Source organism: Homo sapiens, chromosome 7 (genome assembly GCF_000001405.40).
Source record: "Homo sapiens chromosome 7, GRCh38.p14 Primary Assembly".
NCBI classification, from domain to species: domain Eukaryota; kingdom Metazoa; phylum Chordata; class Mammalia; order Primates; family Hominidae; genus Homo; species Homo sapiens.
Window position 1 is genome coordinate 121,184,652 of NC_000007.14, and position 15,314 is coordinate 121,199,965.

The 15,314-nt window shown below is 36.3% G+C and overlaps 1 protein-coding gene, 1 long non-coding RNA gene and 1 pseudogene across 6 annotated transcripts in view, besides 1 other annotated feature; 1 reads left to right on the forward strand and 2 right to left on the reverse strand.

Moving 5' to 3' along the window:
* Positions 1 to 15,314, forward strand: part of CPED1 (cadherin like and PC-esterase domain containing 1) — a 308,732-nt gene that overhangs the window by 195,941 nt on the left and 97,477 nt on the right. The window lies entirely within an intron of this gene.
* The window catches only part of LOC124901735 (uncharacterized), a 122,886-nt gene that overhangs the window by 40,788 nt on the left and 66,784 nt on the right, over positions 1 to 15,314 (reverse strand). The window contains exon 2 of the long non-coding RNA XR_007060494.1: positions 1,956 to 1,989. This is a non-coding gene — a long non-coding RNA (uncharacterized LOC124901735). The remainder of the gene's footprint in view (positions 1 to 1,955; positions 1,990 to 15,314) is intronic.
* Positions 2,744 to 2,813: an enhancer, noted in NCBI's record as "active region_26560". NCBI's record gives its function as "activates an Ori minimal core promoter by ATAC-STARR-seq in GM12878 lymphoblastoid cells {active_cell/tissue: GM12878}" and the evidence as "EXISTENCE:reporter gene assay evidence [ECO:0000049][PMID:35858748]".
* RNU6-517P (RNA, U6 small nuclear 517, pseudogene) lies at positions 10,297 to 10,406 on the reverse strand (annotated as a pseudogene).

Sequence of the window (15,314 nt, forward strand, 5' to 3'; positions counted from 1 at the left end):
TTGCCTTAATCAAATTCTGGCAATAAAAATAGAGTAAGAACTGGAGGTGAGTGAACAAAAAAAATCATTGTAAAATAGATGCAGAAGTGTGCTTAGTTCTCACTGATGGAAAATTAATGAGAAAATAGTAGAATAAATAGGTTACTTTTGCTCTTTAAAACAATTGAGTGTCTTTAACAAGGTAAATTTGATCAAACCTAGAGAAGGGAACAATATTCAATATTGGATTGACTATATACTTGAAAGCATAAAAATAATTGTTGCTATGTCTGGAACCATTTAATTCCTATGGTTAAATGAAGAGTGAAGCAGACACAGTGATTTCTTTATGAAGAGACTAACCTCACTCTTTTCTATGGTTAAAATCACACACCAGCTTTCAGCAAAACCTTTCAGACATGGATGCTGTTTATCAGAAATGATCTCACAATGGGAGCAAGCAGATGTATGGCTCAGTACTATCCTATCACCACTCCTGAGACCCAAAGCAGAATCAAATTCTCCAGGTTAATAGCATCAGTTCTGTGTGTGAAGAACAGTAGAAGGTTCCTGGAAATTTTTAAGTGGCACAGACAAATATAAATATTCACTAGACTGAAATTATAGCAAATGCTGTATCTCTATACAGAGATGGCAAAAGATGCAATAAACAGTCCACTCACTTATTCTTTAGTAAATATACCTATATATTTCATAAATGACTATGACAAATAGCATAGAAAGACATGCATTGTAGAATTATTTCAAAGTATCTATTTTTACCCCAAACAAGTTTACATTTTAATTCTAAAATCTCTATTAAATCACAGGAGATAGGATAAATAAATGCACAATATACAAAACTTGATGCCTATAAGGCATCAAAAATTGTTGTTTTATTAGTAATAATTAAGGACATAATTTTAAGCTGTGGAATCAATAAGTAATTCTGGAGGTTTTAGTATAAAGTGGATGGAGAAAGACAATGTTCAACATGACTGCTTTCTGCCTTCATTCCCCATCTCTACAAAGCACTATAATTCGGGAATGCAAAACTCAGCAAGCAACTACACTCCGTGAACGTAGGCAAACTTTGCATCTACTGGGGGTTCTTAGGAATGAATTGCTACTGCAGATATGAGTCCAGTGATCACAGTTTCCTGATGGATTTTTAGATGCACAGCATGCTGCTGCTAACTGCGATTCTCTGCTTAAACAATCCATAAGTCTCATTCCAGTGAGAAGAAAGGAAGCAACGTGCTGGGAAGATTTCAGTGGTCAGGTTGTAATCTGACATGGGCATTTTAAATGTTTTGCAAACAACTGATTAGTCATATATCGTGTTTTAAAGTATTGAGAGTTACATCCAACAAACTGGATATAATACTATTATAATAATTTTTTTCCACTGGCTATTCTTGCATAAAGACATTTTAAAAATGGACTAAGAAAAAAGGTATTTAGTTTTATCTGCTTTAATTTGCTTCTCTTCCCAAAACTATTCTGTATCCAAGACCTTGTTATTCATACTTTTGAGCAGATAGGGAGACAAACTTGCAAATCTTGTCCATACTTTTATCACAGCCCTTTATTCCTTCTCTGTCTTTGGTAAAATATGTTTCAAATTTTACTTCAATACTTGCAAATTACCTAAACATTGTATGCATGGGAATTTATAGAAAGCTGCTTTCTCCATAACTTTAAAATTTTATTAAATAATATTTGAATGTTGTGTGTGGGACACTAGCACTTATCTGTTATTATAAAATGAGTCCTCATAGCTCTATTTGAAATTCCAGATATTTTATGCATCTATGAAAAAGCTGTCCTTGGGCCAATATAATTTTTTAATTTCCTGGTGCCTAGAAAGCTGAACACCAGCATAATACATATTCCTTACAAGATTTCCAACACATAGGGCACTATACACACATCTACCAAGATTATCAAAATCAAATATCAAATGTTATAGATACCTGCAGTTTATTGAAGAAAGTCTTTTGTGAGACCCTAAAAAATAAAAAAATTATGCATCCTGTAAATTTGCTTTAAATATTTTTATCTTAAAATTATCTTACATGCTTAGCAGTCTAGTGGTTCTGGTTTCATCAAGCAATCAATAGCTGGATTTCTTACCCAATATTTCAAGTTGGTTAAATTTATCTTGTCTTTTCTAGAGGAGAAAAAAAATTCTTGACCCAGTTTCTCAAGAGGGTCAAAATCCAGGATATTTGTTTAAACATATATCCATTGTGCTGGGTCATCGTACTTCAGAAGAGTCTGCACATTAGTGTGGTCTACTCTGATACTTCCTGCTTCCCTGCAGCATAGGCTATAAACTGGCCAAACCTGGGCCTGCCCCTGGGCTCTGGAGCACATTCATTCATTCATTCTAGATGCAATTTTCTGGGGTACAGTGGGTACCCACAAGAATATAAAGGCCATCAAAGTAGACATGATTTTTCTCTCCTGCTCTTGTGGAGTTTATAATATATTTTATGATCTAGACATTAAATAAGGATCCAAAATAATATAATAATTACAGATTATGCTAAGTGCTGTAAATGAAAAGAGCAGGCTGCTATAATGGACAATGGTAAGGAGCCCAGTAGGTCGGTAGGATTGTCAGAGGACATCTCACTGCGAAGGGTGTATTTCAACCAAGAGGAAGCCAGTTTTGAGAAAGGCTGCAGTAAGAAAATCCCAAGTATAGAAAACTGCTGTTTCAAAGGTTTGTGGCAAGAAAGAGCTTAGCACTTTTGAAAACAAAAACAAAAACAAAACAGAAAGACCAGTGTGGTAAGCGTGGTTGAATAAGGGAGAGGGTGATATATGAAGAGGATGGACAGGTAGATGGGGATAGATCACATGTGCTTTGTAGGTGATGGCAGGAGTGTTAGGTTTTGTGTTCATTGGATCTAAGGGCACCTCAGCCTCATAATCTCCAAAATTAAACTTGTGATCTTGTCTGCATCAAGCAGTTTAGCCAAGAGCAGTAAACACACAAGAGCAGTAAACACTCTAGGTCTTTCAAACAGCTTTAATTTAACAGAGTAAATTACTTGCAGGTTATAGAAGAGTTGAGAAGCAAAACAAAGTATAGTTTTGCAACCCAGAATTATAAAATCTCTACTAACCAGCAGGGACAAAGAGATGAGCTGGCTTTTCAGGCCCTATTGCCCACTCACCCCATTTTACAATGTGGCCATAAAGTTGGAAAACATAGACTTTATTTTATTTTACAGATGATGCAACTAGACATTATGTGCCTCTTGATATGATGCAATGAGGAAGTTCACAGGACTTCCTAAATAAATGTAATGTTCATGTTTTGTTAGGCTCATGATTCAAACAAACCAACTGTTTAAAAACATAAACAATAAGAGTAATTTAAACACTGGATACTTGCTTCTATTAAGTAACTATTAATTTTTTCTAAATTTGATTGGTATTTTAGTTATATAAAATAGTGTTTGTCTTTTAGAAATATATATCGAAGCATTTATAGGTGAAATGATACAATATCTGGTAATGACTTTACAATAACCCAGTGAGAAGAAATCAGGGAGTAGAAGTTTAGATAAAATACGATTGACCATATGTTGATAATTGTTGAATATGGATGTTCAATCCAAATTTATTATTTTTTTATTCTATGGGTACATAGTAGGTATATATACATATATGGAGTACATGAGATGTTTTGATATAGCCATGCAATGTGAAATAAGCACATGATAGAGAATGGGGTATCTGTCCCTTCAAGCATTTATCCTTTGCATCACAAACAACAAAATTACACTCTTTATTTTAAAATGTACAATTCAGTTATGGTTTATTGTAGTCAGTTAATCTAAATTTAATCTTGTTTTGTTTGAACTTTTCTACAAATAAAACATTAAAAATAAATACATTTGTAGGAATGAATGACACATCCTAGAGAGAGATTGTGAGGAGAAAAACTAAAAGATTCCAAAACTGAGCCTTGAGGATCATAACATTTAGAGATGGGGAAAGGGGAGAATCAGAAAAGGAAACTTAAATGGAGGGGTAAGGACAAAGAGAGAAAATCAGGAGAGTGTGGCATGGCAAAGCCAAGAAGGAATGGGAGTAGTGGTAAAATATGGGAATGTAGCTGAGAAATAGAGTTAAGATGGGGACAGAAAAATCCTTCTCATCTCAAGTGTGATTGAGGCTCAGATACGCCATTATGTCATTGGCAAGAAGGTGTAGAGAGAAGAGAAGACTAGGATCTAAGCTTGGGTGAGGGAGGTAATGCTCCTTGCACATGAGTATTAGACTCTGCCAGGTTTACTACTAAAGAAAATTGAGGCAAAGCCTGGGCAACAGTAACCTTGCTTCCCATTTGTCGTCATCCTTTGTCTGATTATCTCAGAAGCTGCTAACTAGCAGAGTAGTGACTATGCCTTATAGCAGGATCTGGGCATTTCTGGGTCCTTCAGACATATTATCACATAATGGTGTTCCATTCTACCTTTACTTCCGACATTTTCCTTGCTCCAAGATAGCTTTCTTCATTTATGAAGATGAAGGATACTTTGAAGCCAGTATGAAAAAGTCCTGTAAAATCAATGAAGGTGTATTAATCCATTCTCACACTGCTATAAAGAACTACCTGAAACTGGGTAATCTATGAAAAAAAGAGGTTTAATTGACTGACAGTTCTGCAGGCTGTACAGGAAACACGGCTGGAAAGCCTAAACGTAGTTACAATCATGGCAGAAGGAGAAGGGAAAGCAAGCACATCTTCACATGGCAACAGGAGAGAGAAAGAGTGAAGGAGGAAGTGCCACACATCAGTTCTCATGAGAACCCACTATCATGAGAACAGCAAGGGGGAAATCCACCCCCATGATACACTCCTCTCCCACCAGGTCACCAGGTCCCTCCCCCAACACTGGGTATTACAATTCAACATGAGATTTGGGTGGGGGGACAGAGCCAAACCGTAACAGAAGGTTTGTTAAAAAAATTAATTTAACCATGATGCCTCTCAATTTATGAAAAATAATGAGTTTGCCCATAGGTGATTTTTAAAGTCACCACAATTTTTGGAAAAGAAATGAAAGTGTTCTAGCCATATTCTTATTTTACTTTCTTATGAGGTTTTATATATATATATATATATATATATATATATATATATAAAATTTGTATTTATTGCCTATTTTATCATCTTAACTCTGCATCCATTTAGGAAATAGATGCAAAGATTTATTTATTCATTTGACAGATATAAATACTTGCAACAAGTATTTCCTGAGTGCCTACTGAGCATCAGGTACTATTATAGACACCAGGCAACAACAGTGAACAAGAACTAGGCAGCAAACAAAAAGAGACAAAAATCTCTGCTTTTGTGAAATTTACATTAGGGTTGAAGAAACAGTTAAAGAATTTTAACAAGTAAATATATAATAGGCCACATAATGATAAGTGCTCTGAAGAAAAATTAAACAAGATAAAAAGTCAGAGAATGAGAAGGGACACTATTGTAATAGTGATGAGAAAAGCCCATTTGATGAGGTGACATTTGTGCAGAGACCTGAATGAAGTGAGAAGAGAAGCCTTTCAGCTATCTGGTACAGGCACATCCTAAGCAGAACAACAGTGAGTGCAAAAGCCCTGGGGTGTGCACATGCTGGTGATTTGAGAAACAGTGAGTAGAGCGGGGAGGTTGCAGTGAGCCGAGATCGCGCCACTGTACTCCAGCCTAGGTGACAGAGCGAGACTCTGTATCAAAAAAAAAAAAAAAAAAAAGACTAGATTTTATTGGACAGGGGTCAGGAGGACAGGGTGATTTTGAGAACAGGCATGGCATAATCCGATTTAGTTTTTAAAAAGATATGTCTGAATATTTTAAGGTGGATAAGACCAAGATTTTCTCACTTCCAGACCTGTGTGTTCCAGACATTAAACTGCCCCTAATCCCAAATATTATTTTCAGGAACTAATTTCAATTCTAACTTTAGTAAAATTAGAGAGGCAATGTTTTCCTAGACTCAGGAAAACTAGAAAATAAAGAAAGAAATAATTTTTAAGAAAATACTTTTATTTTATCTACTTTTATTTTCCAGTATCAGAGAAATATATTCCTTTTTTGACCGTCAAAAACTTCTCTTTCAAATAATACAGTCTCTCAAACTGAAGAAATGAAAGCAGCTCTGGATTATTCTACCACATTTAGCAAACACATAAAATCTGAAACCTGAATGTGATGACAGGATTTTATTAAATCCTAGTGAAGTCATCTAAGTTAAGTTACAAATTATTTTACAAAAGTCGCACGCATACAAATCAGATTTTCCCCATCCCAGAGTCAGTGCTGAGTTTTAAAGCCTGTCTGGCCAGTCTTGGCTGTTATAGTATTGTTCCTTTAGCCTATAAATGCCAAGGTTACTGGGAGGTAAAGGCCATGTGGTTATAGCAAAATAGAGAATTAATGGAATGAGGAAAATGTTCCAAAATATTAGAGGATAGGTGCTTGGGGGAAAAAAGTAAAAGAACTGTTTGATTCATGCTTTTTGCCACCTTTTAGAATATAAACCGCAATCCAAACTCTTCGAAAAACACCGAGCATAGAAAAGGGCAACGTTTTTAGAGTTTAACAAATAGTTTGCAGATTTATAGGGAAATTCATGCCCTGGTGAGCAAAGGATACCATAAGCCTACACCCTGCAGTCTGCAATTAAGCATATTAGAGGAGGCTTCTTGGAGGAAGTGACATATGAGATGATTTCGAAGGACCAGTACAAGACAGGCTGAGGAGAAGAATATTATTTTTGCTAGGGAGGCCTTTGAATTGAAACTTGGGGTTCTTTCTATGGCTGTTGAAATAAGAATACAACAACACAATTATGTACAATCTGCGTTCATTTTTTATTCTCTCCATCAGTTCTCCAGATCCTTCTGGGGTGGTGGAATGCCTGTGGCTTTCAGACTAGTGTGGCAAAACGGAAAAGTTCTAATTCACTCAAATTTGGGTGGTTATTGGTTGCATGCCTCTGTGGTTCTTTTTCATAGTTTTGGGTCCAGAACTCTGAGAAGTATATCAGTTTCAGACCTTGATCAAAATGTATTTTTAATTGGCGAGCTCATCACAGAAATTGAGAAAGATGGTAGAAAGAAAAAAAGGAAATGCTATTATTTGAACAATTCAGTTTTTGAACTTTCCTTCAACGTTATTTCCCTGGCTTACCAACAAACTGGCACTACAGTTAGGTCCACAATAAATATTTCATTTTAATCAAAGTGTTGTTTGATCTCTTGTCTAGGTGGCAGGAAACCAAAACACTTCCTTGATGATAAGTGATATAAGTAGGCCTTAAAAATACATTGAAAATATCTTGTGCAGTGATCCCATTTCTGGCATTATGAGTAAATTAGAGACCCAGAAGCAGAAAGTAATGAAATTGGAGAGGGGAAATCTGTGAAGCTTTGCCATTATATTTGAATCTGCAACTATTAACTACCATGTCCACTGGCCATTTCCTAAGTATAATTGGCTCTTTCTTGGGTCATCTTATTCTTTCACCATTTCCCCTCATCCTTTCCTACAAGTCATGTATGCATATAGAGTTCGGGTATCCCTAATCTGGAAATCCAAGATCTGAACTGCTACAAAATTCAAAACTTTTTGAGTACTGACATGAGGTTCAAAAGAATGCTCATTGGAGCGTTTTGGATTTCAGATTCTTGGATTAGGGCTGCTCAACTGGTAAATATTTACTGCAGATATTCCAAAATCTAAAAACATCTGAAGTCCAAAACACTTCTGGTTCCAAATATTTTGGAAGAAATATACAACCTATAGGATGGATGATATGCATGAGTGTACATGCTGCTTTGGGTCTGTGCTCTCTAGAATCAAGCAGGACATCCCTCGAGTACCAGAGCTAACCTTAAGTTATTCTTTGTACCCGACACATAGCTTAATATGGTGAACAAAATGTTTGGCACATTATGTTCAAACTTAAATAACTGCAGGTCAGGCTTTGAGGGGTAAAGCAGACCAATAGTTATTTAGAAGTCAAGAGAATACACAAAGAATGAAAGGATAGAGAAAATTTCCAGAGAAAACTATCTTTTATTCATTTCCTCACTTGAATACAAAACACATACTGTAAAATAAATAATAAATATTCACACCCGATGACAAAGAGAAGACTCTTATATCAAAATTTTAAGACAGACAAAATAGATATGATTTTTATGTTTTCTGTTGAGGAGAAGCAGAGCACTTCCCCACTGACTTTCTGACAATTTGTCATCAGGATCAACCATGTATTTTCTGGGAACTTGATCAAGTAAAATCATTCTGGGACACCACAGTGCTTTCAAAACCTAGATCAGGTTTCCTTTTGGATCGAGGATCTGACCAAGAGCATATAGAACTCTTAAGATGGATTAACTTTTACTCTGTTCTTCTGATCTGTTTCATTTATCATGTAATAAGTTGACAAAGGGACTGAAATACGCAGAGACATGGAATTTTGGGGTTACCCAGAAAAACCTCCGCTGACTCAGTCAAATTTGTGGTTTATATTTTAGCTATTGCTATGGTTAATTTCTATTTGTTTTTACAATGCATATGAACAAATGTTTGATGAAAAAATTAAAAGAGAAGAAACCAAAAGTGAAATGTGAGTGCTGTTAGACTGGCCAACATTTATTAAAGATACCAAGCTAAATGATGGAAAATTTGAACAATCTGGGTTACTTTAGTTGAAAAAATAAACCATTTATAGTACCCTAATACCTTTTAGGCTTGTTTGGTAGATATAAAAGTTTTGCTTTCTTTTGTGTCAAAGTTCCTACTGGGTCGCTTCAACTAATAAAATCAAAATCACATTAATTCAATTTCTTCTTTAATTGCTTCTTCTCATGGATCATCTGAAAATTTCAGCAATGGCATGATATGCTCCAAGATTCTAAAGAGTGGGCCAGAAGCAAATGAAGGGCAGAGGAAAAGTAGGAAAATAGAGAGAAGTTGCCATTTCTGAGCAACTACTATGTGTTAGTAGGTGCAGAGCCTTTCAATAACCCCACTATGTAAGTGTTGTTAACTCTACAGAGGAGGAACTTGAAGTTTTAAAAGGCTAGTAACTTGCCCAGGGTTAGTTGTAGTTAAGATTTAATCCTATTTCTGATTTATGTCAAATTTCTACTACTTTATATCTCCTATAAAACTCAGGTGTAAGATTAAGACATGCCTAATAGAAAATCTCAGAAATAAATCAGAAGTATTTTCTTATATGTATATAATGAAGTAAGAGTTAGAAATTAATATCTGTGGACTTCATTTATCTGTACAGTCATGGCCTCTATTAACATGGATGAGCAAGCTCTCTCTCTCTCTCTCTCTCTCTCTCTATATATATATATATATATATATATATTTTTTTTTTTTTTTTTTGAGACAGAATCTTGCTCTGTTGCCCAGGCTATAGTGCAGTGGTCTATCTCGGCTTACTGCAACCTCTGCCTCCCAGGTTCAAGCAATTCTCCTGCCTCAGCCTCCCAAGTAGCTGGGACTACAGGTGCCTGCCACCATGCCCAGCTAATTTTTGTATTTATTTTAGTAGAGACAGGGTTTCACCCTGTTGGCCAGGCTGGTCTTGAACTCCTGACCTCAGGTGATCCACCTGCCTTGGCCTCCCAAAGTGCTGGGATTACTAGCACAAGCCACTGTACCCGGCCTATAATATATTTTGAAATGATAGCAGTAAAAACTGTTCATGGCACTACCTGGATAATGCTGATTAAATATAATTTAATTAAAATGGACTGAAGTATAGATTTATTTTACCATTTTTTTCAGGTGATTGAAGCAGAGCATATATGATCTCCACATATCAAGACTAACGGATGATTATTTCATTTACCAGCTGTATGGTTTGGGGTTTTGGTTTTTCTGTTAAATCTGTCAAGCTTTAAAGCTCAGTATGTGTCATTGCTTATTTAAAAATGTAATATGATGTGAAGGATAGAAATGAATTCAAATGTGTGTATTGGGACTTTCTAATGTCTCGTAAAATAAGTTTTTAATTTTTATAAATTCATTAGAACTAAAATGATCTGTTTTTAAAAACATCCCTTTCTCTCATTAGTTGTTTGTTTTTTGTTTTTCTGTTTTGAGATGTGGGCTCACTCCATTGCCCAGGATGGAGTGCAGTGGTGCTTTCACCATTCACTGCAGCCTCGGCCTTCAGGGCTCAGGTGATCCTCTTGCCTCAGCCTCCTGAGAAGCTGGGACTACAGGCTTGTTCCACCATGCCAGGCTAAATTTTCTGTTTTAAAAATATGGAACGCTTCGTGAATTTGTTGCATGTCATCCTTACACAGGGGCCATGTTAATCTTCTCTGTATCATTCCAATTTTAGTATATGTGTTGGTGAAGTGAGCACCATTAGTTTTCAATATTATGATTTTCTTGCTTAGTATACTACAGTGTATAAAGTACCATACTAAAGTCTCCTGTTTTATTTGTCCATTAATTCTTTCAAAATAGGAGATACAAATAGAAACATGTAAGACCCCAGACTTTTAATAGACATGATGATGAAATATCTACACAGGTATCTGTAATACTAACCCAGGAAATCTTTGTGTAGAGTTAAAAGCTTGATTTTGAAGAAACATAAGATAGTTTTAAAATATTTTTGCTTTATTCTTTCCATAGTTTAATTACTATCATTTTAAATCACCTTTCATTATATGAAAACCCATATTGAAACAAAGAACTGCTCATTTTCTAGTGTTTACAGATACATCACATAATGTTGATAACTCCAGCAAAAATTTAATTTTAGAAATCTGATCATTTTAAGTCAAAGGAGAAGTACATCTAACACAGTTATGCTAGGTTGAGAATATGAAGTACTGCTTTAAATGTTTGCTCTGGAACCAAATGTAGAAAAGTTTAGATAAGTCATGGACCAATCATTACTAAATTCACCTCAAGGATATTTTCACTCTTCTCTACTTGGTAATAACCACTAAGGGAATAGGGAAATTTACACACATATCTAAGAAATATGAAGGACTTCCAGACAGTTATGCATTTTGAAGAAAACATTTATCTTCAGTGTAAAAACATTCAATAGTTAATTTTTCTTTCAAAAACACAACTTGCTGCTTATTACCGGTATCTTGACTTCTAACAAAACCTCAAGCTTGGTTGGTGTTTGGTGTGAATGTGTGTTCCTATGAGTGTGCTGTAAATTGGCCTTGGAGAAATAGGGGTTTTCTTGAATCCAGGAAGCCTTGCTGTGTTGTTTGGCTGTTAGTTGGTGCCTTGACTATAACACATAAAGGGACTATGTGGCTTAGGTTGCCGCTTTCCTAGAAGGCCGGGGGGAGATGGTGTTTAGTGGGTCTGCTGCTTGAGGAGGCCAAAGAAAACCTTGTTGTAAGTAGCGCCTCAGGGTGGAATACATTCTTTGCCAAGCATGTCATTCAGTTTTCAGAAATAATTTAGCTGCTTTGGGATGTGGAGAGCAGGAAGGAATTTTGCTATTGGCTGCTGGAATAGTCCTGGTGAATAAAATGGTGGGGAGAAGATTGCTGAGAACAATCTGCTGCTGGGAGCTGGGGGGAATTGAAACTTCAGTCTGCTCAGTTGGCACTAGCTGTATGCAGTCTGTTGTGGGCCCTATGAGAAAGCTACCTGCAGGCTGCTACTCAGTAAGCAAACAGCCTCCATTGTACCTTCTGACTGCTTGCAACTGTCAGGCAAATGCTTAATCAGCAGCTTTTGAAAAAGAGCATGATTAATAAACCCATAAAACTCTCTTCTCTGATTAAAGCAGCAACTGTGTGGCAAAATCTATTAGAGCTTAGTTAGAGACCATTATAGTAGAGAAAATAAATTATTAAAGGGCAGATTTGTAGGCACTCTAGGAAAACAGATTTGGCTGGACTTAGTCCTGTCTCCCAGCTGTGAGAATTAAATAGGAGTCTGGGGACATGTAAAATTTAGTGCAGGACATACTTATAAGACAGCAGGGAAAATGCTATGACTGAAAGGCAGCAGCTCTCTTATAAATGCACATTGATTTTCAAAGGCTGAAGAGTGTTTCTTCAGTTCCCCGTGCTACCGTACGCTGACAGAGAATAGATGAGACCGAATTTTAGATCACACTAAAGTTTCTTTTTTTTTTTCAGCTTTATTTTTAAACCTTTTCCCACAAGTCTAGCTCATTAGAGCAAGAGAACTTTAATGAAATAATGGGCACAAAGTCAATCTGGAAAGTTAAAAAACACCATTTGGTTGCCATTACTGGACTGAACTCAATTTTTGTTTTGTGTATGTTTATTAAAGTTAAGGATATCAAATATAAATGTTGATCAATGTTTGCTTCTCCAGAATTGCACACTAAAATAATGTTCTTTCATAAAGTAGCTAATCCACAAGTTTCCAGTTCGTAGAGCTTTGTTTTTACTTTAGTTATTCCTTAAAAATAATCTTTTTTTTTTTTTTTTTTCTAGAGAGGACCCAATAAGTCCTGGTACTATTAAGAGAGCATTCTTAAAGCAGGTTTTAAAAGTAATAGCAAATTAGTGCATTGACTCTCATTTTAAAATGTATTACTTTATGCTCATTTACTTACTGCTTTACTCTATAAATGTTTGTTGATCATGAGCAATACATGAGATCACATGAAAGTACTGCCAGGGATAAAAAAATAACAACAGTACCACTAATACCTTTACTATGACTGCTGCTATGGATAACACCGAATTACTTACAAAGGGCCAACTGTACATCAAGCACTGTTCTCAGCACTTTACAGAAACTCATTTATTCCCCACAAAAGCCTTTAGAAGTAAGTCCTATGATTATCCTTCTTTTCATACTTGAGGAAACTAAGGCACAGGGAGGTTAAGTAATGCCCCATGTTAAACAGCTAGTAATGGGCAAAGCTAGGATTTGATTTAGGCAGAATAATTGCTACAGTCGAGTGTGTGTATATGGGTGTGTTGTGTGTGTGTGTTTGTGCATGCGCATGTATGTGCTTAATAGAGGTAACAGTAGAAGAATTCTTAGAAAAATGCTGAGGGCAGAGGCTGTAGAATTCTAGCTATTGAGAGAGCCGTGGAACTGACTTGAACCATGAACTTTGAGTAGGAGCTGGATGTGCAGAGATGGAAGCTGAGCCTGGCAGCACAAGAGTAGCAAAGCAAGCTGTCCAAATTGCCTCATCTGTGGAGTATACAAAGTTGATTATGGATGGTAAGGCCAAGCTAGTAGATGAAACCAAATTGTAAACCGAAGAATCAGACTAGTAAGTGTGGCTTTTGTTTAATGCCAATGGTAAATCGTTGATTTTTAAAAATATTGGGGAGATATGTTCAGAAATGTGTTTCAAAGTTTAAGTCTAATAACAATGTGTGGTTAGATTGCAATAGAGAAAGACTGATGTGTTTAGAACAAGATTACAATAAAAAGTCAGAAAATAGTGTTGGGGGTAGCAGTTATTACGCGAAAGACAAGGTGGTGTCAGCAGAGTTTATTGTTTAGGAAAAAAATCACTCAGTACCTTATACCTTGGCATTTATAAACTAGACAATCTCAAAAAATGTTATTGAACCAAACTGACAAAATAAGAAGGCTTTTTTATTCAAATATAAGCTTCTGAGTGTCATGAGCACACATCTTTTTTGATGCCTTTTTATAGCTTCTTAGATAAAAGCTCATTTTTATGGTTACATTCGGTATGGTTTCTTGTGCACATGCTATGCTTCTGTGTGAAAGATGAGTAAATCAGATCCATTTTCATTGCAGTTTTCCTCAGATGGCAAGTGTGAGTGGAGCAAGCACACTTTTGCCTGATTGGAAGCACCTGCAGTTTATTTGCCATGGGGTTGTTCCCTGTGTTTTTGCCCGGACTCATACTTTACAGAGTGCTGCCCAATCCTGCTTATTTTCCTCTCACTGCAACTTTCATATCAGCTGCCATTGGGGTTGTCTTCTTACTACTCTCTGAAATTCACTACGCCAGAGCCTTCTCTGCAGCTCATGTGAAATGCAGCCAACTCAAAGCCGTTCATGTAGCTGTAGATTCAGGTGGTTACAAGATACCACGTGCTGGCATAATGATTTCACAAATATGGCATGACTTATCAAAGCATGTGATTCTATTTTAAGTTTCATTCCTATCGGTAACTGAATACACTGTCTCTATCAGTTATTTCTGAGCCTGTTACACGGACCTTCAAATCTGGGAAGATTCCCTCTGAAGCAAATGTGATAATAGTAGTGATTCTGACTTCTGCTTTTTTCCCCTGCCCACCAACGAGTGGTATTTTAGGTCATTAGAAACAATGATGATGCCTTTGGCAAATTAGATTCAATGCCAGGGAATAACTCTACAGTCTATGAGTGCCCAAAACTATTGAAATTCACAGAAATGGCAGCGTAATGATTGCTTTGAAATAGGAATTACAAGTGCTCTTTAGCATTTGTAATCAGGGAGCTAAGAAGAACATAACAAGGGGTCTTAGATCATCAGTAGAAGCACAGCATTACCAAGTGTGGTTCTCTATGATTTATAGGCTGAAGTAGTGAATGGACAGTAGGGACAGTCCACACATGGGGTATAATAATGAGTAAGAGTGTGAACACCTTGGAGAATTAGATTCAACTCACTGGCTTTCCCAACCATAATAATTTAGTCAACAGTGTTGAAAATATTTTCATGAGGTATATGGTCTTTCCGTGTGCTATAGAAAAATACAAACATAGGGCTGAGCGCGGTGGCTCACACCTATAATCCCAGCACGTTGGGAGGCAGAGGTGGGCAGATCACGAGGTCAAGAGATCTAGACCATCCTGGCCAGCATGGTGAAACCTGTCTCTACTAAGAATACAAAAATTAGCTGGGGGTGGTGGTGCACACCTGTAGTCCCAGCTACTCAGAAGACTGAGGTGAGGGAATCGCTTGAACCTGGGAGCTAGAGGTTGCAGTGATCCGAGATCATGCCACTGCACTCCAGCCTGGCAACAGAGTGAGACTCCATCAAAAAAAAAAAAAAAAAAAAAAAAAAAGAAAGAAAGAAAGAAAGAAAAGAAAAATACAAATATAGAAAAAAGTTTCTATTTTCTAAGGCAGTGTCAGCCAATGGAAAGATAATGTGAACCACATACGTAATTTTAAATTTTCCTGTAGCCACATTTTTTAAAAAAGTAAAGAGGTGAAGTTAATTTAAAAAATATGTTATTGGACCAAATATATCCAAAATATTATGTTTCAATATATAATCAGTATAAAAATTACTAGTGAGAGAGTTCACATTCTTTTTTTATATTGTCT